Source organism: Homo sapiens, chromosome 6, assembly GCF_000001405.40.
Source record: "Homo sapiens chromosome 6, GRCh38.p14 Primary Assembly".
NCBI classification, from domain to species: domain Eukaryota; kingdom Metazoa; phylum Chordata; class Mammalia; order Primates; family Hominidae; genus Homo; species Homo sapiens.
This window is the reverse complement of record NC_000006.12, coordinates 89,300,152-89,323,841: the sequence shown is the minus strand read 5'-3', so window position 1 is coordinate 89,323,841 and position 23,690 is coordinate 89,300,152. Positions and strand designations below refer to the sequence as shown.

Sequence of the window (23,690 nt, the reverse complement as noted above, 5' to 3'; positions counted from 1 at the left end):
TTCTGCCTTTGCCTTGCTTGACTTCTTCACAGCACTGCATGTTGACTACCCTCCTCCTTGAAGCTCCTTCTTTGGTTTTCATAGTCAACTTCTTTTCTAGTTCTTCTGTAAGAAGAAAATAAAATTTTGGAACCTCCTAGATTTATTAAGCCACGGGGAAAAGTTAAGCCCTGGAAACTGACTCACAGCACATGGCTGTTTTTCCTCTCTGGTACATGACCATTACTTCCTGACCTTTGTGTTGAAATGTTATACGCTAACCAGACACCTCATTCTTCATTCAAACCTAGGCTAAATGACATTGGAAATGGAGACTCTTGTGATTGTTACCTCTATGCAACAGAATGTTAAGCAACCCTCTTAGAGTGTAATCAATAGCAGCCAATCAAATCTTACACATGAGCCTTTGTAGAGGAAACGTAATTCTGTTCAACACCACCATTTTGTTTTGTTTTGTTTTGATTTGTATAAACAATCCTCATTTTTTCCCACACTTGGTGCAACTGATCACCATTCTTGGGTGTAGCTCTGCTTCCCTGATGGCCACCCTCATACTTTGCACTTGAATGAACTCTAACTGGATCCTGAGACTTTTCATTATTTTAGGTTGACATTTCTATGCTTTTGTTCTGGCTGCTCCATCCATCCTTTAAGAGTGAAGATTCTCCAAGATTCTGTGCTTGAACTTTGACCTCTTAATATGTCCCTGAAGATTTCATCCTTTCCTATAGCTAAACTACCACCTGCAAAATAAAAATAAAATCATTTTCAGGTCTTAGTCATGAATTCTTTGTCTAGGCCAATGTCTGTAAGAGTTTTTCTCATGTTATCTTCTAGAATTTTTATGGTTACAGGTCTTAGATTTAAGTCTTTGATCCATCTTGAGTTGATTTTTGTATAAGGTGAGAGATGAGGATCCAGTTTCATTCTTCTACATGTCACTTGCCAGTTTTCCCAGCACCATCTATTAAATAGGGTGTCCATTCCCCAATTTATGTTTTTGTTTGCTTTGTCAAAGACCAGTTGGCTGTATGTATGTGACTTTATTTCTATGTTCTCTATTTTGTTTTGTTAGTCTACATGCCTAATTTTATGCCAGTACCATGCTTTTTGGTAACTATAGCCTTGTAGTATAACTTGAAGTCCGGCAATGTGATGCCTCCAGATTTGTTTCTTTTGCTTAGGATTGCTTTGGCTATTTGGGCTCTTTTTTGATTCCATATGAATTTGAGGATAGCTTTTTCTAATTCTGCAAAAAATGATGTTGGTATTTTGATGAGAATTGTATTGAATCTGTAGATTGCTTTGGGCAGTCTGGTCATTTTCACAATATTGATTCTTCCAATCCATGAGCATGGGTTTTGTGTTCCATTTGTGTCATCTATGATTTCTTTCAGCAGTGTTTTGTAGTTCTCCTTGTGGAGATCTTTCACCACCTTGGTTAAGTATATTCCTAGGTATTTTATTTTATTTTATTTTATTTTATTTTCATTTTTGCAGCTGTTGTAAAAGGGATTGAGTTCTTGATTTGATTTTCAGCTTGCTTGTTGTTGGTGTATAAAACTGTATGTTCTCATTTATAAGTGGGAGCTAAACTGTGAGTACCTAAAGGCATACAGGGTGATATAATGGACTTAGAAGAGACCTTGAAAGGGAAGGTTGGGAAGGGGGCTAGGGATAAAAAACTACTCGGGTGACAGGTGCACCAAAATCTCAGAATCTACCACTATAGAATTCATCCATGTAACAAAAAACCACTTGTACCCCCAAAGCTATTGAAATAAAAATAAAAGAAAAATCCTAAGTGCCTGACTGAATGAACCCCTCTTGGCCAAGGTGACCCCAGAAAAACTTTAAAAACTATGTCTCCCAGCCATGGGAAGGTCAGTCATGCCTCACTGAACCCCCTTCCTCACTAACACTCGCCAGACTTTCCTAAGAGTTAAACAGAAACCAAACTTAGAAAGACAAAGAACACAAGACACTCCTTTGCTGACTTTAGCCAATTGCTTAATGCTGCAGGGGAACTTCCCTCCCCTCCTGCAGTTTCCACACGACAACTGACAAGGCATTCCTTCCTGATAAGTGACCACTGACCGCAGAGTGGTTCTGCAGTTCTGTCCATGAAGGCTGCACACAAGGTACTTCTGTGTCTTCCGTTTCACCTTTTGAGGTATAGAGACTAATTTTGCTGCATTTTAACATTGTCTCCACCCTAACATGAAAATGGGACGTATGTGACATACATGTTTGCTTATCACCTGTGATCTCCTCTCATAAATATTCATAGCCCTCATATCCTGACAAATATGCATGCCTAGCCAATCCTCAAGTATAAAACTCCCATAACATGCTCCCTCCCTAGAAGTGCCTGCTTTCTGTCTCAGCCTGAGGCTTTGTTTCCCAGCCTGCAGGTTACAATTCTCTATAAGAAATAAATTTCTCCTTTCCAAACGTATGGGTCTCATGATTTTAAGTTGACATGCCATACGCTAATGCCTCTGTTGGGGGCAGAAAATGATTCAGCATGTTGCGTGCTTTGAAAATTGAAAGGCCTCAGAAATAAGTCTCAAAAGCAAGGTCTCTCTCTGACCTTTCTCCCATATCCCTGTCTGCTCCTCTTTTTAAAAACACTTTTATCTTTGTATATATTTAGAGGGTACACGTGCAGATTTCTTACATGCATATATATTGCTTAGTGGTGACATCTGGGCCTTCAGTGTAACCATCACCCAAATAGTGAACATTGTATCCAATAGATAATTTTTCTGTTTTTTGTTTGTTTTTGAGACAGAGTCTTTCTCTAGTCGCCCAGGCTGGAGTGCAATGGCGCAATATCAGCTCACTGCAACCTCCGCCTCCCGGGCTCAAGGGATTCTCCTGCCTCAGCTTCCCAAGTAGCTGGGACTACAGGCACATGCTACCATGCCTAGCTAATTTTTTGTATTTATATTTGTATTTATTATAGAGATGGCATTTCACCATGTTGGCCAGGCTGGTCTCGAACTCCTGACCTCAGGTGATTCACCCACCTCGGCCTCCCCAAGTGCTGGGATTACAGGCGTGAGCCACCATGCCTGGCCTCAATAGGTAATTTTTCAACCCTCACCCCCGCTTCCACCCTTCCACATTTTGAAGTCTCCAGTATCTATTATTCTACTCGGTATGTCCATGTATACCCATTGTTTAGCTCCCACTTATATAACATGCAGTATTTAACTTTCTGTTTCTAAGTTATTTCACTTAGGATCATGGCCTCCAGTTCTATCCATGTTGCTGCAAAAGATGTTATTTCATTCTTTTTCATGTCTAAGTAGCATCCCATGGCATAAATAGATACCTTATTTTTTTCTATCCAATCCTTTGTTGATGGACACTTAGGTTGATTCTGTATCTTTGGTATGGAAGTTGCCTCCTTAGTGCAGGAGGCAGCACATCAGTCTCATGTCTTTGCTATCGTAAATAGTGCAGTGATAAACGTATTGTAAGAGTTAAAGAAAAAGGAAAGAAACATGAAAAGTGGCTCAACAGTCAAAGACAGGTTTATTTTGGAGAATAAACCTGAGAGGGGCTTCTGGCCGATTTTTGGTCAGGAGTGTTCTCTCTTACAGACTAAGGATATTTAAGGGTTTAGGAAGAGGGGAGCTTATTGTAGGTTCAGAGTGTTTCTATGTGAGGAAAAGGTTACTGTGGGGTTGAAATGTCTCTGGTTAGAGAGGAAGCTATCTCCGGGTTGGCATGTTTCTGGTTGGAGCGGGTTTATCTTAGGGGTTGGAATGTTTCTGGTTATTCTGACGTTAGCCATTAGGCTGATGTTTTGGGGCTGGATTTAGGCAGTTTTGTTTTGTTTTTTAATCAAGGGAAATTTAAAATGGTGGTGTTTGTCCAAGATGGTGAAGCTCCTGCTCTGTTACATATGAGTGCAGTATTTTTTGATATCTTTTGGGTATATACCTAGTAGTGGAACTGCTGAATTGAATAGTTGTTCTATTTTTAGTTCTTTGAGAACTATCCATTCTGTTTTCCATAGAGGTTGTACAAATTCACATTCCCACCAACAGTGTATAAGTATTCCCTTTTCTCTGCATTCTCGTGAACATCTTTTGTTTTTAGACTTTATAATAATAGCCATTCTGACTAGTGCAAAATGGTACCTCATTGTGGTTTTAATTTGCATTTCTATGATGGTTAGTGATGTTGAGCATTTTATTTTATATGCTTGTTGCTGCTTGTGTGTCTTCATTTGAAAAATGTTCTTGTCCTTTGCCCACTTTTTAATGGAGTTACTTGTTTTTGTTGTTGTTGTTGTTGAGTTCTTTGTAGATTCTGGATATTAGCCCTTTGATGCATAGTTTGCAAATATTTTTTCTTACTCTATGGGTTGTCTGTGTACTCTGTTGATTGTTTCTTTTGCTGTGCAGGAAGCTTTTGAGTTTAGTTAGGCCCCGTTTGTCTATTTTTGGTTTTGTTGCACTGGCTTTTGAGGACTTGGTCATAAATTATTTGCCCAGGCCGTAGGTATGTGGCTTTATTTCTGGATTGTATATTCTGTTCCATTGATCTATGTGTTGATTTTTATATCAGTATTATGCTGCTTTGGTTACTACAGCCTTGTAGCATAATTGAAGTCAGGTAAAACCTCTAGCTTTGTTCTTTTTGCTTAGGATTGGTTTGGCTATTCAGGCTCTTTTGGATTCTATGTGAATTTTAGAATTTTTTTTTTCTAATTCTGTGAAAAATGATTTTGATAATTTGATAGGGAATGCATTGAATCTGTAGATTGCTTTGGGCAGTATGGCCATTTCAATGATATTGATCCTGCCAATCCTTGAGCATGGGATGTTTTTTCATTTTTGTTTGTGTCATCTAGGATTTCTTTCATAAGTGTTTTGTAGTTCTTAAAGAGATCTTTCACCTCCTTGGTTAAATATATTCCTAGGTATTTTATTTTATTTTTGTAGCTATTGTAAAAGAGATTGCCTTCTTAATTTGGTCCTTGGCTAGATCTTTACTGGTGTGTGGGAACACTACTGATTTCTGTACATTAATTTTGTATTGTGAAACTTTACAAAATTCATTTATCAAATCTAAGAGGGCTTTTATGGAGTCTTTTTTAATTTTTCATCATCCTCCATGGTTGGATTTTGTGGAGTTTTTAGGGTTTTCTAGAAACAAGATCATATCATCAGCAAACACGGATAATTTGACTTTCTCTTTTCCAATTTAGAAGTTTTTTATTTCTTTCTCTTGCCTGATTGGTCTGGTGAGGACTTCCAGTACTATATTAAATAAGAGTGGTGAAAGTGGGCATCCTTGTCTTCTTCCACTTCTTAGAATGTTTTCAACTTTCCCCCATTAAGTATGATGTTGGCTGTGGGTTTGTCATATATGAGCTTTATTATGTTGAGATATCTTCCTTCTATGCCTAGTTTGTTGAGAATTTTTATGATGAAGGGAAGCTGAATTTTATCGAACACTTTCTCTGCATCTATTGAGATGACCACATAGTTTTCCTTAATTCTGTTTATGTGATGTATCATGTTTATTGACTTGTGTATGTTGAACCATCCTTGTATCCTTGGGATAAATCGTACCTCATCATGGTGTATAAACTTTTTGATGTGCTGTTGTTTTCAATTTGTGGTATTTTGTTGAGGATTTTTTGCATCTATATTCATTGGGAATATTGGTCTGTAGTTTTTTTTGTTGTTGTTGTGTCCTTGTCTGGTTTTGGTATCAGGGTGATACTGGTCCCATAGAATGAGTTAGGGAGAATTCCCTCCTCCTTGATTTTTTGGAATAGTTTCAGGAGGATTGGTTTTAGTTCTTTGTATGTTTGGTAGAATTTGTCTGTAAATCCATCTGGTCCTGGACTATTTTAGTTTTTGGGAGATTTTTTTTATTACTGATTCAATCTTGCTACTTGTTATTGGTCTGTTCAGGAGGTCTATTTCTTCCTGGTTCAATCTCAGGAGATTATGTGTTTCCAGAAATGTATTCATTTCCTCTAGGTTTTCTAGTTTGTGAGCATAAAGCTGTTCATAACAGACTCTGATGATCTTTTGTATTTCTGTGGTATCATTTGTAATGTCTCCCTTTTCATTTCTGATTGTGTTTATTTGGAGCTTCTCTCTTCTTTTCTTGGTTAGTCTAGCTAGTGGTTTGTCAATTTTCTTTATCTTTTCAAAAAAACAACTTTTTTTTTTATTGATCCTTTGTATCGTTTTATTGGTCTCTATTTCATTTAGTTCTGCTCTGATCTTTGTTATTCCTTTTATTCTGCTAACTCAGGGTTTGGTTTCTTCTGCTTTTCTCGTTCCTTGAGGTGCCATAGGAGTTTGTTAGTTTGTGATCTTTCTACTTTTTTGATATGGGCATTGAATACTGTAAATTTCTCTCTTAGCACTGCTTTTGTTATATGCCACAGGCTTTGGTATGCTGTACTTTTTTTCATTTCAAAAAGTTTTTAAATTTCTGTCTGAATTTCTTTGTTAACCTACTGATTGGTCAGGCTCTCTGCTCTTCTTGCACAAAGAACTGGGAGGGACTCTCTGGAATTTCCCTATCTAAGAAAGTTTAAATGCACTTAAGACCCCCTACCTAGGGATCTCACAAAATAACCAGGAAAAATCAACCATCTGAGAAGAGAAGAGACTGGGAGTTCTCACTGCACCCAGATAGACTTTTCATCTAGTCTTCTGAGGGCAGCTTTAAGAGATTACCTGTTGGACTTTATCTGTATAAGACAACTTTAGTTCCTGTGTAGTTCCACCCCTCACTTTCCTCCTGGGTCCATTCATCCTCCCTAATGATTTACTGTCCCTCAAAAGAATTGCCTACATCCCCCATCTCTTCCTTATGAAAAAGGGTATATAAATGTCTGTACCATGCTGGGTAATTGGGTAATCATGATGTGATTTTCCTCCATGCATGTTAATAAATCTGTATGCCTTTTCCCCTATTAATCTTCCTTTTGTCAGTTGATTTTTTGGTGATCCTCCATGGGGCAAAGGGAAAACTTTCACTTGGTCTCTACAGCTCCAGATCTATTTCTATAGTCTAGAAATAGAACTAGACTTTCTCCTGAACTCCAGGCTCATGCTCTAGCTTTTTTTTTTTTTTTTTTTTTTTTGGAGACGGAGTCATGCTCTGTCGCCCAGGCTGGAGTGCAGTGGTGTGATCTTGGCTCACTGCAGCCTCTGCCTCCCAGGTTCAAGTGATTCTCCTGCCTCAGCCTCCTGAATAGCTGGGATTAACAGGCACGTACCACCACACCTGGCTAATTTTTGTATTTTTAGTAGAAATGGGGTTTCACCACGTTGGCCAGGCTGGTCTTGAACTTCTGACCTCAGGTAATCCACCTGCCTCTGCCAAAGTGCTGGGATTACAAGTGTGAGCCACCGTAGAATTCTTGATATTATTGTTGACTTTTCTGTCTCTCACCTTCTACTCTATCTGCACAGGCACCAAATGTATGCTACCGCAGAACTAACTTGAGTATCTCACTCTTCTGTCTTCCTTTCTCTTCTTCCTTCTTCGCTTCCCTCAGAGCAGGACCTTATTCTCTTTTGTCATCATAAGTTCCCTGATTCGACTGATCCCAATTAGGAATTATTTCAAAAATAAAGTAGATCATGCCATCTCACTTTGCTTAAGGGAATCAAAGAGCTTCTTTTGATTCTGTCATTTATACATAGTAAAATCCCAATTCTGTTTCACTTACGGCTATCCCACCTCCTGATCTCTGTCCTCATCTCCCTATGTTTCTACCATGAAATTTTCCATTGCCAGGACATAGCAAGCAATGAGTAGTTTTTAAACATATTCTATTTTGTTCAGTAGGTTAGACATAACCACATGTATCTCTACAATTCTAATGTGCTTAATTCCATATCCCAGGATAGGAATAAAGCCTAATTTATGATTGATTTTATACATTTTAGGGTTAAAGGCCAAAGTTAATTTAATGCTTATGGTAGGAAGAAAAGCTTACATAATCATGAATTCTATGATTAATGTCATCCTTGAAACTAAAAATGTATTTTATGCTTTGATGTTTTCACTGGAAAAAGTTGATCTATATTTGTGAGAAAGGAAGTATCCTTGCTCATAGGCAAAGCATATTCTCTTAGCTCCATAAATAAATCAACCCTAAGGAAACAGGTCATTCATGTTTACTCAGCATTTCCTGAACACATTTATGTACCCATCTAAATGTCCACCAAGTCCTCTCTGCAAATCTACTTGGAATCCGAGCTGACCCCCTGGTGGATGGGACAGACTGGTTTTATGCAGCCAGAAGATGGACCAATAATCTCAGCACAAAGCTGGCATGTTCAAGAGATTTAATTTTTTATATAACAGCTTTAGCCAAAGCTATTCTAGGATTCAGTGGAAGCAGAATTTCATGAGGACAAACTTCTCGACTAATGGCCAATCACTAATCAGCAGGGAGGGCAAAGCCTGGTGTTTGTGTCATGGCCCGGAGTGGAGGGGGTGAGTGGGGCGTCAGTATCAAATAGTAAATCGGGACAACTAGCCTGGCCAGCCTTGCCCTCACAGCCCCTCAGAGCAGCCCGTCAGGAGGCAGCAGATGGATCAATGGTCAAGCCAGGGGGGATTTGCTCTGCCACAGGCTACTGGAAAGCAGCTTTTTGCCTCACAGATGTCCACAAAATGCCTTATTTTACAAGACTCATTTTGTTCTTGTTTTGCTTGATGGTTCTCGTGGAGAGCAGAAAACCCAAGAGGAAGCGATGGACAGGGCAGGTGGAAATGCCCAAGCCAAGGTAAAGTCATAGGTGGGAAAGGAGGGAGGTTACCCTGCATAGTAGCAGCAGCAGTGGCACAGTGGGATGGCTCCCCAGGGGGCTAAGGTCCTATTGAGATATCGCCCTATGAGAATGAGAACCCAGCTACTTCACTGAACGCAGCCTCTCCCTGGGCACACATACTCTATGTGTCACAAGCATTGAGAGCAGAACTAGACTGGGATGAGCCTTCCTTCGGATGCCTGCGTTCAGCCAAAGCATTTTGATTTGAGGCAGATATAAATAGTTGGAGACGTAGTGGGTAAAATCATTCTCTGTACAAATCACATTGTGCTGCTTTGTTTCTCAGGGTTACAACCGATGACCTGCTAAATAATTACACTCAAGTATTTTGGGGAGAACTGTATATAGGAACCTAGCCTGAACTATTAAGAAAAAAATGCATACGGGAGTTGTCTTCCTTAAATTATTTGCCAGAGAATAACTTTATAATGATATTGGGTTTCATTTTACTGTTTTGAATCTTAGAAGAGGTGTTCAGAAATTTGCTTAATTATCAGAAATATATGTGTGAACAACAGTGAATGCAATTTCATGATGTAATGGAGACATTCCCAAGAAATAATAGCCCAGGATCTGCATTCAAAATCATTACATTACAAATCTAAGTTCCTTAGGAAGTTTATTTTGAATTGACATACGAAGCATCATACTCCAGGCCTGAAGTAGACATAAGGACTGTTAGACATGGAGATAAGAAAAGAACAAGCAGCTAAGATATAAACACCATGTGTGGCATGTTACACATTTATTTTCCATTCTACTAAGCATCAGATAAACTAGTGGTTTTGAATATAAATTAATATCTTGAGGCACATTTTCTAGGTCAGTCCCCAAACATTTTTGAACATGCGCTGCTGTCAATGACAAGTTTTTGAAACTGTACCTCTAATACATGCATATTTACTTACAAATCACATACATGTGCTGTTATAAATATGTATGTTAAAGTTTAATTGATTTCTTATTTTTAGAAAAAAAAAAAAAAAACCCTGAATATAAATAAGAGTTACAGCCTCTACTTCCAGTATCCCAGTGGCAACTGCTGCTCTGGGAGAGGTTATTACTCTCTTTTGTTTATTTGTTTGTTTGTTTTTTGAGATGGACTCTCTGTCACCCAGGCTGGAGTGCAGTGGCGCAATCTTGGCTCACTGCAACCTCCACCTCCCGGGTTCAAGCGATTCTCCTGCCTCAGCCTCCCGAGTAGCTGGGATTACAGGCGTGCACCAGCATGCCTGGCTAATTTTTGTATTTTTAGTAGAGACAGGGTTTCACCATGTTGGCCAGGCTGGTCTCAAACTTCTGACCTCAAGTGATCCACCCACCTTGGCCTCCCAAAGTGCTAGGATTACAGGCAGAAGCCACCACACCCAGCCTATAATTACTCTCTCTGGAGCCTAGTCCTACTCAGCGGAAGGCAAACAGATCAAAACCCTCAGAGGCCCTGCTCTGAACAACCCATGCGGGTTGGGTTGCCAGAACCATAGGCTGTTAAACTGGAAGGAGCCTCAGATGTCATCGGCCCAGCAAGTCCCCTGAACTCTAATTTTGGGAAACGTGAATGGCTGTTGAGTGAAATGGGGTTCCAGGGCCACCAAAACGTGGAAAACCCTGGTTTAGACCATTTTCAACAGATGTCTCTACAGCAGAACTTTTAGAACCTTTGTTATGCAAATAGGCACTGTGAGAATCTTGAAGAGAGGGATAAATTATGCAGGGCTTCTCAGAAACAACTAAAAAATCCACAGTTTTTTGGACTGTCTTGTGGGATTCCTACTCCATGGAGCACACACTGGGAAACTGTCCAAGTCAACTCATTTGACAGATGCTGAAATGGCTCAGGGGCATGAGTAAGTCACACGGCCTGCTAGTGGCTTCCCAACACTAGAATGTAGGTTCCTGATTTACTTAGACTGGAGGAAAATCTGTTCAAAACTGTCTATTCTGTAAGAACTGGGGTTCAGCACAAGTCCCTTGGGGTGCCCAGGGACCCCACTCAGCAGCCTGGGCTTGGCGGCACCTCCGTCTCACTTTTCCTCAGAAGTCCACAGTCTCATTCCCAAACCCGCGCATGAGCCTGGGCACAGCTGGGCTCTGACTCTTAGTGGGGAGGAGACTTTGTTGAAATCCAGCCCATGAGGTGTTAAAGTGGGAAAAGATGAACACATACATTTCAAGGAAGTAAAATATTTATTAAACTGAGGCTGGGGGAAAAGGACAGGGAATGTGGTTCTGGGCCTTTCTGCATCCATGAGAATGCACACACAGTCAGACAGTCAACAGGGTGACGCCTCCTTGTGAACATTTCAGCCAAGCCTCTGACAATTTATTTTTCCAAATTACTTTCATTATTGACACGCAGGTGTCAAGCTATACGAACAAATAAGAAAATGACCAGACCCCTTCTGATTACAGTCTTAGAGTGCTTTCTCTCTTTAGGATTGCTCCTTTTCTTAGAAGTCCTGTTCACACACACGGTCACACTCACACACATACCGCATGCCACATATGTGACTTCACGGGCACACACTATGCACATGGTCACCCTCACACATGCACACTGTGAAGACTTCTTTGAACCTGGAAGCCTTCCCTGCCTCACCCCAGCCAAGGCATGCACACAGAACAATGATTCCGCCCAGCAGCTGCTTTTACAAAGACCAGCCCCTATTTTCTGCTGCTTTGTGTCTCTGTGTACTAAATGGCTGCAGAGTGAGTCTGTTTCCTCTTGGCTGTTATTGGTTTTGTTCTGTTCTCCCAGCTCTCAGCCTTCCAACTTTATTCCTACTCCTCCTGGCCTGCTGCCAAAGTTGGCCTCCTGACCACACGATTGCCCTTCTTTCTTGCCAAGGGAGGCACTTCTCCCTTGAGAGCTGACTCTGGGCTGTGCCCTGGACAGTACTGTCAGGCCCCTGCAGGTCTCAACGTGGAGCCCCCTCTGTAGCTTCCTTCCCCATCTGCTGCCTCCTCACTACCCCTACCTCGGCCATCCTTCCTGGGTCTGCACTGTGGTTCTGTTCCGCTGGAGGCAGGAGCAGCTTTGCTTTCCAGCCACACAGTGACCCTCATCCACTGCTGAGGGTCTTGGCAAAGGAAAAGGAGTTGGGAATTCAGGAAAATCAGGTTCAGACCTTGGTTCTGCCGCCATCTAGCGTATGTGGCCATGTTTCCTGCTCTCTCTGAACCTCCGTTTCTCCAGCTGAAAAGGGGGGTGGTGAGCCCTTCCCCATGGGGATGATGTGAAGATGGGGTGAGGTCTGCCTAACGTCCTGCAGTTCAGGGCCTGCACAGGGAGGAGGGGCACCCACGAACACCTGATTATCCTGGTTGCTGTTATTGCCAAAAAACCACAACACGGTGACATCAGCCCTGCTTCCAAAGGCATAGTGGATCCATTTTTCTTCTTCCCTCACCCCTCACCCAAAGGCCGGGTTTGAGGTTCCATGAAGGTCCTGGCTGCCCTGCCATGGGTGGGTGGGGGCTCAGGAAGGAGTCTAGGGTCTGAGGGCCGAGACTGTGTGGGCCATCTCCTGTGAAAGGATGAATGGAGAGCATATGGCTCATACAAATAGCCCAAGGCTCAGGATCTTAGTGGCTTGATCTCTTAAAAAAACTCTGGGCCCTCAATGGCAGTGGGATTTAAATCTCTCTCTTGTTGGGGTGGGTGGCATTCTGGGACTTCCGCTCTCCTAAGCCTTTTCCTAAATGGATGTAAAACTGTGCTGACCAGGAGGGATTTACTCCCTGTGAGTCAGAGGGGCAGTGAGCCGGCTGCACTTACGGTTTAATGTCTATGATCTGCTAAGCCCTCGGGCTGAGCTCTTCATCTGCCTTCCGGAGGCGTCTTTCATGGGCGTCTGCACGTGGCACCTCACACGGTCACTGCCCAGAGACCCAGGCCTGGCCCCACTTGACTCCTGGAGGCAAGGCTTGAGGAAGAGATCAGTGTGTGTGTGTGAAAGCTCCTTGGCAGCACCCGACCATGACTACACATGGCTTAAGGGGACTGGACAGTCCCGTATTTCAGCCACAGGGGAGGAAGTTAAATTGGACTTTCCTCTTTGACCTGTGAAGCTATAATAGGCTTGTCTAAAAGCGAATCTTATCATAGCTTCCTCTTCCATCTGCCTAACACTCTTCGTTGTCTTCCCATTACCTTTGGATAAAGACAGAATTCTTAACATGACTCTCAAGGCTCTGCCTGGCCTGGCCTCTGCTTGTCCCTGCAGCTTCATTCTCTTCATTCATTCCCACCACACCCCCCACCCCCTCCCGCTTCTCATCTAATGCTCACTCATTCTTCAACCTACGCCACTTCAAACTGAGTGCGGCCCAAACCAAACTATGCATGCATTGAGTTCAGATGCCTATAGGATACTCAATTAGGGATGCTGAGTTAGGAATCAGATATAAAGGTTGAGAGTAGAGGGTAGGGATTTAAGAACATCAGCATGTTGATGACAATTTAAGCCATCAACTTAGGTGAGTCTGCCAAAGAGAGGGTAGAGAGAGAAGATGGCTGGGACAAGGTCCTGGGGACACTGACATTTAAGGGATGGGGTGAAGAATAGGGGGATGCTGCAGTGGAGAAGCGCCTGTCAGAGAGGTAGGAGGAAAACCAGAGTACTTTGTTCTGAAAGACACAGTTTCTGGCAGAAGCAGGGACCTTCCTGTCTGCAGCTGTGGAGAAGCCAGACCTCAGCAAGAGCACCTGTAGGACCAGGGGTTGGGCATAAGTAGGCAAGAGGGCTTGGAGTGAGGCGGTGCCAGCAGCCTGTGGAAGATGGCTATTTGGAAGAGTTAATTATTTACTGGGGGGGAAATAAATTTTTTTTTAGGTGGAACAGTGAGGATTTTTAGGGCAATGAAACTATTCTATATGATACCATAATGGTGGATATACATCATTATACATTTGTCCAAACCCAGAGAATATCAACACTAGGCTGAGGATGGTGTCTCATGCCTGTAATCCCAGCAGTTTGGGAGGCTGCAGCAAGAAGATCTCTTGAGGCCAAGAGTAACATAGTGAGACCCTGTCTCTACAAAAAAAAAAAAAAAAAGATTAGCCAGGCACGGTGGCATGTGCCTGTTAACCCCAGCTGCTCAGGAGGCTGAGGTGGGAGGATCACTTGAGCCCAGGAGTTTGAGGCTGCAGTGAGCTACAATTGCACAACTGCACTCCAGCCTGGGTAACAGAGCAAGACCCTGTCTCTAAAAATAATAATAATAAGAAGAAGAAGAAGCATGGGTGCTAATGCTAATGCTGTGTCAATGCAGGATTATCAATTGTAACAAATGCACCAACCCAGGGGGGATGCTGATAGTGGGGAGGCCATGCATGTTTAGGGGCAGAGGGCATATAGAAACTCTGTACCTTCTGCTCAATTATGCTGCAAACCTAAAATTACTCTAAAAAAAGTCTTAAACATTTTTTTAAAAAAGGAAATGTTTAAATAATATAACCAACACACCTATATTGCCATCACTTTCAATGCATTTTGCATGAATTGAGAGCTAGAGGAAGATGTGGAGTTTAGATGGGTTTTCTGCTTAGTTGTAATTCCAGGTGGGAGAGCCTAGAATCCAGTTTGAATACTGGTGGGAATGAGCCATGAAAGGGGGAGAAGCTGAGGAAGCTGTGGGGAGGGGGCATGAGGGCAGGGTTCAAAGGACTCTGTAAGAAGGGGCATTAGGCACTTCTGCTGAGCCTCAGTTACCTCACCACCTACACGTCTGGAGGATGTGCAAATAGGGCAGGACAATGTGGAAGGCAGCAGCAGGGTGGAAGGACAAGAGGGTGGGTGAGTTTGGAAAGCAGATGTGAGAGTGGCTGAGTGAGATGGCTGCCAAATGGGAGGCTGTCCTCATGCAAGTCAGGCTCTCCTCAGGACATTTGCTCTGCTGTTTTCTCAGAATTACTTCCTTCAGGTCCTCTCATGACTCCCTCCCTCCCTCCAGGACTCAGAAGAATCACCAGTCACCTCATCTAAACAGCCCTCTATTCCAACCCATAGCTCTCTATTCCTTACCCTACTTTGTCACGTGATTTATCTGTCCACTGGTTTATCGTCCACCTCCCCGACTAGGTTGGAAGCCCTGTGAGGACCGTGAATATATGCCCTCCCCATGGCTCGGGCAGTGTCTGCACAGAGTAGGGGCTCTATAGAAACGTAGATGCTCTATAAAAATATGTTGCACAAATCAATTTGAGTCTAGGAATTGGGGAACTGTGTGACCAGGGTGTGGGACAACTGTCTGTGTGGATGTTGACATCCTCAAGGTTGATGGGAGGAACTAAATGGAGAGAAAGAGAAGCAGGTTGTTCCTGAGCCCTCAAGCGGGTGGGGAAATGACTGGGAGGTCTGGGGCAGTGAGAAGCTGGGCCAGGCAGTGTTAGAAGTAGGGGTGTAAATCGGAAAGCCCTGGCTTATAGGGGAATCTGGGGTGGGCAGGCTAACTTTTATATTAGCACCAAACAATAAAACTTTTGGTGATTATGGAAATGTTATTTATTTATTTAATTTTTTTTTATTATCACACTCCACTGAGGTAATGGAAAGATTATATAGCTGCACTGTTCAGTACAGTAGCAACGAGCTGCATGGGGCTATCGAACACATATGTGTGGCTAGTATAATGGAAAAACCGAACAGTCATTTATTTAGCTTTCATTAATTGAAATAGCCATATGTGTCTAGTGGCCACTTTATTGATCAGTGCAGCTTTAGGCCTCCCATTGAATTATGCCATCTGGGCAGAGCCGGTGAGGAATGAAACTTAAGGATTTCATAAGAGGATGCCTCCAAGATCAGAACCTCCAGAGAGGAAACCATCACTTTCCTCTTACAGAGTTTAAACAGGAAACACACCTGTTGCCCTCAAAAGTGAATGAAGGCCGAGCGCGGTGGCTCATGCCTGTAACCCCAGCACTTTGGGAGGCCAAGGCAGGTAGATCACCTGAGGGCAGGAGTTCGAGACCAGCCTGACCAACATGGTGGTCCCGTCTCTACTAAAAATACAAAAATTAGCTGGGTGTGGTGGCGGGTGCCTGTAATTCCAGCTACTCGGGAGGCTGAGGGAGGAGAATCACTTGAACCCAGGAGGCAGAGGTTGCAGTGAGCCAAGATCTCACCATTGAACTCCAGTCTGGCGACAGAGCAAGACTCCATCTCAAAAAAAAAAAAAAAAAAAAAGTGAATGAAGTTTGACAAGAACAGGGAGGAAAATAGAGGTATATGTAAATAAACAACAAACACTCAAAACCAAATCTCCATTGATTTCTAAAAACCTTCAATATGCTGCACACAACAGTCACAGGCCCTGAGGGCTCTGGTTTCTTCAGCAGGTGAGTTAGCAGTTTCTCACTTGCTACTACTAAGTTGTCAGCACCAACAGGTGCCCTGGGCAGCTCTCAGGACATTGCCAAAGGCATTAGATTAAGGCTTATCCTAGCGGTTCTCAAATGTTGCTCTACCTTGGAATCATCCAGGAGCTTTAATAAATTTCCAGTGCTGAGACCTCCATCCCAACCAGTCAAATTCAAATCTCTAGGGGTGGGATTTAGGCATCATTGGTTTTAATATCTCCCCAGGTGATTATAATCTGTAGCTAAGTTTGAGAATCATAGGTCTAGCCAACATAACACAAAGCCACATAGAGTTTATTATCATTAAGGTATTCCAAGATCTAAAAATGCTAAGTTTGGAATGACTGTGATTCTTAGCCTTGATTGCATGGGAATAGCTAGGGAATTCACCCCAGAGAGGTGAATTTGGTTGTTCTGGGGTACAGCCTGGGCATCAGGGTTTTTAAAAGCCACTTGAGATGATTCTAAAGTGTGGTTAAGGCTGAGAAGCATCTGGGTTACAGATGATGTTGACCAAATGTACTAGAATGGAATTGGTTTAAATTTCTCCTAGAAGTTGTTTGTGTGGTCATGTTGCTACCTTTTATTGAATGCCTGCTACATGCCGGGCATTGTGCTAAGTGCAATGGACAGAGATAAACCCTAGCCTAACGCTCTTAGAAGGCTAAGTGAGACATGTACACAAAGTAACTTCAGTGCCAGGCACAAACCAAAAGCCTATAAGAGGAACAGGTAACGTACTGTGGATTAGCCTGGCTGTGTGAAGGTTCCTTCTCTTCCTCCTTTTTCCTTTTTCCTTCTTTCCATCTTTTTTCTTTTTTTCTCTTTCCTTCTTTCCTTTTCTCTCTCTTTTTTTTTGTTTAGTAATAACTGTCAGCAGACAATTGCCTTAGAACATTTTGGATCTGACTGCTTTAGTGTGCAGTTGTGGTGAAGAAAATGATCTGGAAAGAGTGAGCGTGAAAGAAAGAAGAGAGAATCACTCCTTTGCCGTCACCTGGTTTAGAGGAAGGACTGACCAGGGCTGTGTCCTGGGCTCCAGCTCTGGGTGCACCACCTAGGTGGATGGTCAGAGCAACTCTGTCCTCCACTGGCTGTGAATTGTCTTTCTAAGGAGGAAGGCTTTGTCCCAGGGTAGGTTCTGCAGACCTGGACTGAAGTAAGGAGCATCATATTTGGCAAAGATAAAACCAGCATTTAAAAGTTTTGACTATATTTGTCTTAGAAGTATATTTATCACAAAACCATTCTTATAACATCACGAGAATTTTTTTTTTTTTTAAACACAGGGTCTCACTCTGTTACTCAGGCTAGAATGCTCACTGCAACCTCAACCTCCCAGGCTCAAGTGATCCTTCTGTCTCAGCCTCTCAATTTGCTGGGACCAGAGGCATATGCCATCACACTTGGTTATTACATTTTTTTTTTAAAGGGACGGGGTCTTGCTATGTTGCCCAGGCTGGTCTCAAACTCCTGGGCTCAAACCATTCTCCTACCTGGGCCTTCCAAAGTGATAGGAATACAGATGTGAGCCACTGCACTCGGCCAAGAAATTAAAAAAAAAAAATCATGATCTTCCAGTACTCAACACAATCATTTTCTTTTTCTTTTTTTCTCATCACACATTTATTTATTTATTTATATTTATTTACTTATCCTGGGTGAGATTCTTATTTATTTTTAAGACTTCTATTTTAGGTTCAGGGGTATACATGCAGACTCGGTATAGAGGTAAACTTGTGTCACAGGGGTTTGTTGTACAGATGATTTTGACACCCAGGTACGAAGCCCCGTACTCGACAGTTATTTTTTCTGATCCTTTCCCTCCTCCCACCCTCCACACTCAAGTAGGCCCCAGTGTCTTTTGTTCCCCTCTTTGTGTCCATGTGTTCTCATCACTTAGCTCCCACTCAGAAGTAAGAATACATGTGGTATTTGATTTTCTGTTCCTCCTTCCAGTTCCATCCATGTTCCAGCTAAAGGACATAATCTCATGCTTTTTGTGTGTGTGTGTGTGTGAGACAGGGTCTTTGTCACCTAGGCTGGAGAGCAGTGTCATGATCATGGCTCACTGCAGCCCTGACCTCCCTCCTGGGCTCAAGTGATTTTCCCACCTCAGCCTCCCAAGTAGCTGGATGTGGCACCATGTTGCTCAGGCTAGCCTTGAACTCCTGGGCTCAAGTGATCTGCCTGCCTTGGCCTCCCAAGTGCTGGGATTACAGGTGTGAGCCACCACCCCCAGCTGATCAAATTCTTTTTTATGGCTGCAGAGTATTTCATGGTATATGTGTATTACATTTTCTTTTTCTTTTTTTCTGGAGAGCAATGGCACAATTTCAGCACACTGCAACCTCCACCTCTCGGGTTCAAGTGATTCTCATGCCTCAGCCTCCTGTGTAGCTGGGATTACAGACATACACCACTATGCCCAGCTCATTTCTGTAGTTTTAGTAGAGACAGGGTTTTGCCATGTTGGCCAGCCTGGTCTTGAATTCCTGGCCTGTGATCCACCTGCCTTGGCCTCCCAAAGTGCTGGGATTACAGCTGTGAGCCACCATGTGTGGCCATACCACGTTGTCTTTATTCAATCTGTCACTGATGAGCATTTAGGTTGATTCCATCTCTCTGCTATTGTGAATAGTGTTGCAATGAACATGCATGTGTCTTTATGGGAAAACAATTTACATTCCTTTAGCTATATACCCAGTAATGAGATTGCTGGGTAGAATGGTAGTTCTGTTTTTAGCTTTTTGAGGAATCACAACACTGCTTGCCACAATGGTTGAACTAATTTATATTCCCATCAACAGTGTATAAACGTTCTCTTTTCTCTGCAACCTCACCAGAATCTGTTATTTTTTGACTTTGTAATAATAGTGATTCTGACTGGTGTGAGACGGTATCTCATTGTGGTTTTGATTTGCATTTCTCTAATGATCAGTGTTATTGAACTGTTTTTCATATGTTTTTTGGCTGAGTGTATGTCTTCTTTTGAAAAGCATCTGTTCATGTCCTTTGCCCACTTTTTTTCTTTTTTTTTTTTTCTTTTTTTTGAGATGGAGTCTCACTCTCTCACCCAGGCTGGAGTGTAGTGGCACGATCTCAGCTCACTGCAACCTCTGCCTCCCAGGTTCAAGTGATTCTCGTGCCTCAGTGTCCCAAATAGCTGGGATTACAGGTGCACGCCACCACACCCAGCTAACTTTTGTTTAGTAGAGACGGGGTTTCATCATGTTGGCCAGGCTGGTCTTGAACTCCTGACATCAAGTGATCCGCCTGCCTCATCTTCTCAAAGTGATCCTCCTGCCTCAGCCTCTCAAAGTGCTGGAATTACAGGCATAAGCCACTGTGCCCACTTTTTGCCTACTTTTTAATGGGGTTTGTTTTTTTCTTGTAAATTTAAGTTCCTTATAGATGCTGGATATTAGATCTTTGTCAGATGCATAGCTTGCAAATATTTTCTCCCATTCTGTAGGGTGTCTATTTACTATGTTGATACTTTTTTTGTGCAGAAGCTCTTAAGTTTAATAAGATCCCATTTCTCAATTTTTGGTTTTGCTGTAATTGCTTTTGGTGTCTCCATCATGAAATCTTTCCCACTTCCTGTGTCTGGAATGGTATTGCCTAGGGTGTCTTCCAGGGTTTTTATAGTTTTGAGTTTTATACTTCAGTATTTAATCCATCTTGAGTTGATATTTGTATATGGTGTAAAAAACGGGTCCAATTTCAATCTTCTGCATATGGCTAGCCGGTTCTCATAACACCATGTATTGAATGAAGAGTCCTTGCCTTATTGCTTTTGTTGGCTTTGCATAAGATCAGATGGCTGTGGGTGTGTAGCCTTATTTCTGGGCTCTCTATTCTGTTCCTTTGGTCTATGTGCCTGTTTTTGTACCAGTACCATGCTGTTTTGGTTACCATAGCCTTGTAGTATAGTTGGAAGTCAGGTAATGTGATGTCTCCAGCTTTGGGTTTTTTTTTTTTTTTTTTTTTTCCTCCTTAAGATTGCTTTGGCTATTTGGGGTCTTTTTTTGATTCCAGATGAATTTTAAAATAGTTTTTCCTAGTTCTGTGAAGAATATCTCTGGTAGTTTGATAGAAATAGCATTGAATCTATAAATTGTTTTAGGCAGTATGACCATTTTAATGATATTGAGTCTTCCTATCCATGAGCATGAAATGTATTTTCATTTCTTTGTGTCATCTCTGATTTCTTTTTTTTTTTATCTGACAGCAATAGATTTATTAAGTATCCCTGAAAATATAAACACAAACCAGTAAAAAACAAATCCATAAAATGTCAGGCCTGGAGCTGCAATAAGACAGAGACAGGAGCAGCACACACGTGGCCTAGGTGGGGAGGACGGGTGTAAACACTGCAGGAGGGTGGCAAGGGAGCCCTAGCGTGAGTGACAAGCTGGTGGGGGAAAGCTGGGGACAGTGTCGACAGCAAGATGGCTCTGGAGGTCAGACACTGCTGGCCTTGGCACCGGCGCCACCTGCCCCTCACTCCAGCTGCAAGCAGCTTCACTTGGGGCCCTGGGCCTCCAATTCCTCCTCCTCATCTGCGAACATCTCACCCTCCTCCTGGGCCATGGAGTCCTGGTACTGCTGGTACTCGGACACCAGGTCATTCATGTTGCTCTTGGCCTCGGTGATCTCCATCTCGTCCATGCCCTTGCCCATGTACCAGTGTAGGAAGGCCTTGTGCTGGAACATGTCCGTGAACTGCTCTGAGATGCTTGAACAGCTCCTGGATGCCCGTGCTGTTGCTGATGAGGGTGGAAGACATCTTGAGGCTGGGGGGTGGGATGTCACACACGTCCACCTTCATGTTGTTGGGGATCCACTCCACGAAGTAGCTGCTGTTCTTGCTCTGGATGGACAGCATCTGCTCGTCCACCTCCTTCATGGACAGGCAGCCCCGGAACACGGTGGCCACTGCCAGGTAGCAGCCGTGGTGCCGGTCGCGGGCAGCCATCATGTTCTTGGCATCAAACATCTGAGGGGTGAGCTCGGGCACGGTCAGGGCCCGGTAATGCTGGCTGCCCGGGCTTCATGCCTGGCATGAAGAAGTGCAGGCAGGGGAAGGGCACCCATGTTCACCACCAGCTTGTGCAGGTCCGCATTGAGCTGGCCCGGGAAGCACAAGGAGGTAGTGATCCTGCTCATGGTGGCCAATGTCAGGTGGCTGAGGTCCCCGTAGGTGGGCGTGGCCAGCCTGAGGGTGCTGACGCAGATGTCCTAGAGCGCCTCCTTGTTGATGCAGTAGGTCTCATCTGTATTCTCCACCAGCTGGTGGATGGACAGCATGGGGTTGTAGGGCTCCACCACAGTGACACCTTGGGCGAGGGCACTACGCTGAAGGTGTTCATGATGCAGTTGGGATACTCCTCATGCATCTTGCTGATGAGCAGCGTGCCCATACCCGAGCTTGTGCCCCCGCCCAGCGAGAGGGTCAGCTGGAAACCCTACAGACCGTCGCAGTTCTCACACTTCTTCCGCACATCCAGGAGGGAATCCACCAGCTCCGCACCCTCCGTGTAGTGACCCCTGGCCCAGTTATTGCCGGCCCCACTCTGACCAAAGATTAAATTGTCAGGCCTGAAAAAATGTCCAAAAGGCCCCGAGCCGACACTGTCCATGGTCCCGGGCTCCAGGTCGACGAATGGCCCGAGGCACATACTTATGAGAAGAGGCCTCGTTGTAGTAGATGCTGATCTGCTCCAGCTCCAAGTCCGAGTTCCCCACGTAGTTGCCGCTGGGGTCTATGCCATGCTCATCACTGATGACTTCCCAGAACTTGGCCCCGATCTAGTTGCCGCACTGGCCGGCCTGAATGTGCAGGATCTCCCTCATACTGGGCGTGTCTGGCAGGCGGCTGCGGACGGGCAGGCGGGCTGGGCTGGCTGCTGACATCTCTGATTTCTTTGAGTGGTGTTTTTGCAATTCTCATTGTAGAGATCTTTCACCTCCCTGGTTAGCTGTATTCCTAGGCATTTTATTCTTTTTGTGGCAATCATGAATGGGATTTCATTCCTGATTTGGCTCTAGGCTTGACCATTGTTGGCATATAGGAATGCCAGTGATTTTTTACATTGATCTTGTATCCCAAAACTTTGCTGAAGTTGTTTATCACCTGAAGGAGCTTTTGGGCCAAAACTATGGGGTTTTCTAGATACAGAATCACATCATCTGCAAACAAGAATAGTTTGACTTCCTCTCTTCCTATTTGGATGCCCTTCATTTTGTTCTTTCTTGATTGCCCTGGCCAGGACTTACAATACTATGTTGAATAGGAGTGGTGAGAGAGGGCACCCTTGTCTTGTGCTGGTTTTCAAGGGGAATGTTTCCAGCATTTGCCCATTTAGTATGACGTTGGCTATGGGTTTGTCACATATGTATTGAAGTGTGTTTCTTTAATACCTAGTTTATTAAGAGTTTTTAATAAGGAGTGTTGAATTTTATCGAAAGCCTCTTGTGCATCCATTGAGATAATAATGTGGCTTTTGTCTTTAGTTTTATGTGATGAATCACATTTATTGATTTGCGTATGTTAAACCAAACTTGCATCCTGGGATTGAAGCCTACTTGATTGTGGTGGATTCACTTTTTGGTGGGCTGCTGGATTTGGTTTGCAAATATTTTGTTGAGGATTGTTTGCCTCAATGTTCATCAAGGATATTGGCCTAAAGCTTTCTTTTGTGTGTGTGTGTGTTTCTGCCAGGTTTTGGTATCAGGATGATGCTGGCCTCATAGAATGAACTGGGGAGGAGTCCCGCCTCCTCAATTTTTTGGAATAGTTTTAGTAGGAATGGTACCAGTTCTTTGTACATCTGGTAGAATTTGGCTGTGAATATATCAGGTCCTGGGCCTTTTTTTTTTTTTTTTTTTTTGGTTGGTACGCTATTTATTATTGATTCAACTTCAACTTCGGAGCTCATTATTGGTCTATTCAAGGAATCAATTTCTTCCTGGTTCACTATTTGGTTTGGGGTGTGTATGTGTCCAGGAATTTATCCATCTCTTCTAGGTTTTCTAGTTTGTGTACACAGAGTTGTTCATGGTAGTCTCTGATGGTTATTTGTATTTCTGTGGGGTCAGTGGTAACATCCCCTTTGTCATTTCTTTTTGTTTTTTTTTGCGACAGAGTCTCACTCTATCACCCGGGTGGCGCAATCTCCACTCACTGCAACCTGCGTCTCCTTGGTTCAAGTGATTCTTGTGCCCTAGCCTCCTGAGTAGCTGGGACTACAGGTGTGTGCCACCATGCCCAGCTAATTTTTGTATTTTTAGTAGAAATGGGGTTTCACCATGTTGGCTAGGCTGGTCTCAAACTCATGACCTCAAGCAATCTGCCCACCTCAGCTTCCCAAAGTGCTGGGATTACAGGTGTGAGCCACTGCACCTAGCCCCCTTTCTCATTTCTAATTGTGTTTATTTTGATCTTCTCCCTTTTCTTCTTTATTAGTCTAGCTAGCAGCCAATCC

At 43.3% G+C, this 23,690-nt stretch overlaps 1 protein-coding gene and 1 pseudogene across 2 annotated transcripts in view; one reads left to right on the top strand and one right to left on the bottom strand.

The window, feature by feature from the left end:
- Positions 8,543–23,690, top strand: part of GABRR2 (gamma-aminobutyric acid type A receptor subunit rho2) — a 60,836-nt gene continuing 45,688 nt past the window's right edge. For both annotated transcript variants that reach the window (XM_047418599.1, NM_002043.5), the window contains exon 1: positions 8,543–8,789. In XM_047418599.1, coding sequence (XP_047274555.1) covers positions 8,602–8,789 — 188 coding nt within the window. In that variant the 5' untranslated portion in view covers positions 8,543–8,601. The remainder of the gene's footprint in view (positions 8,790–23,690) is intronic.
- Positions 20,534–22,116, bottom strand: TUBB3P1 (tubulin beta 3 class III pseudogene 1; annotated as a pseudogene).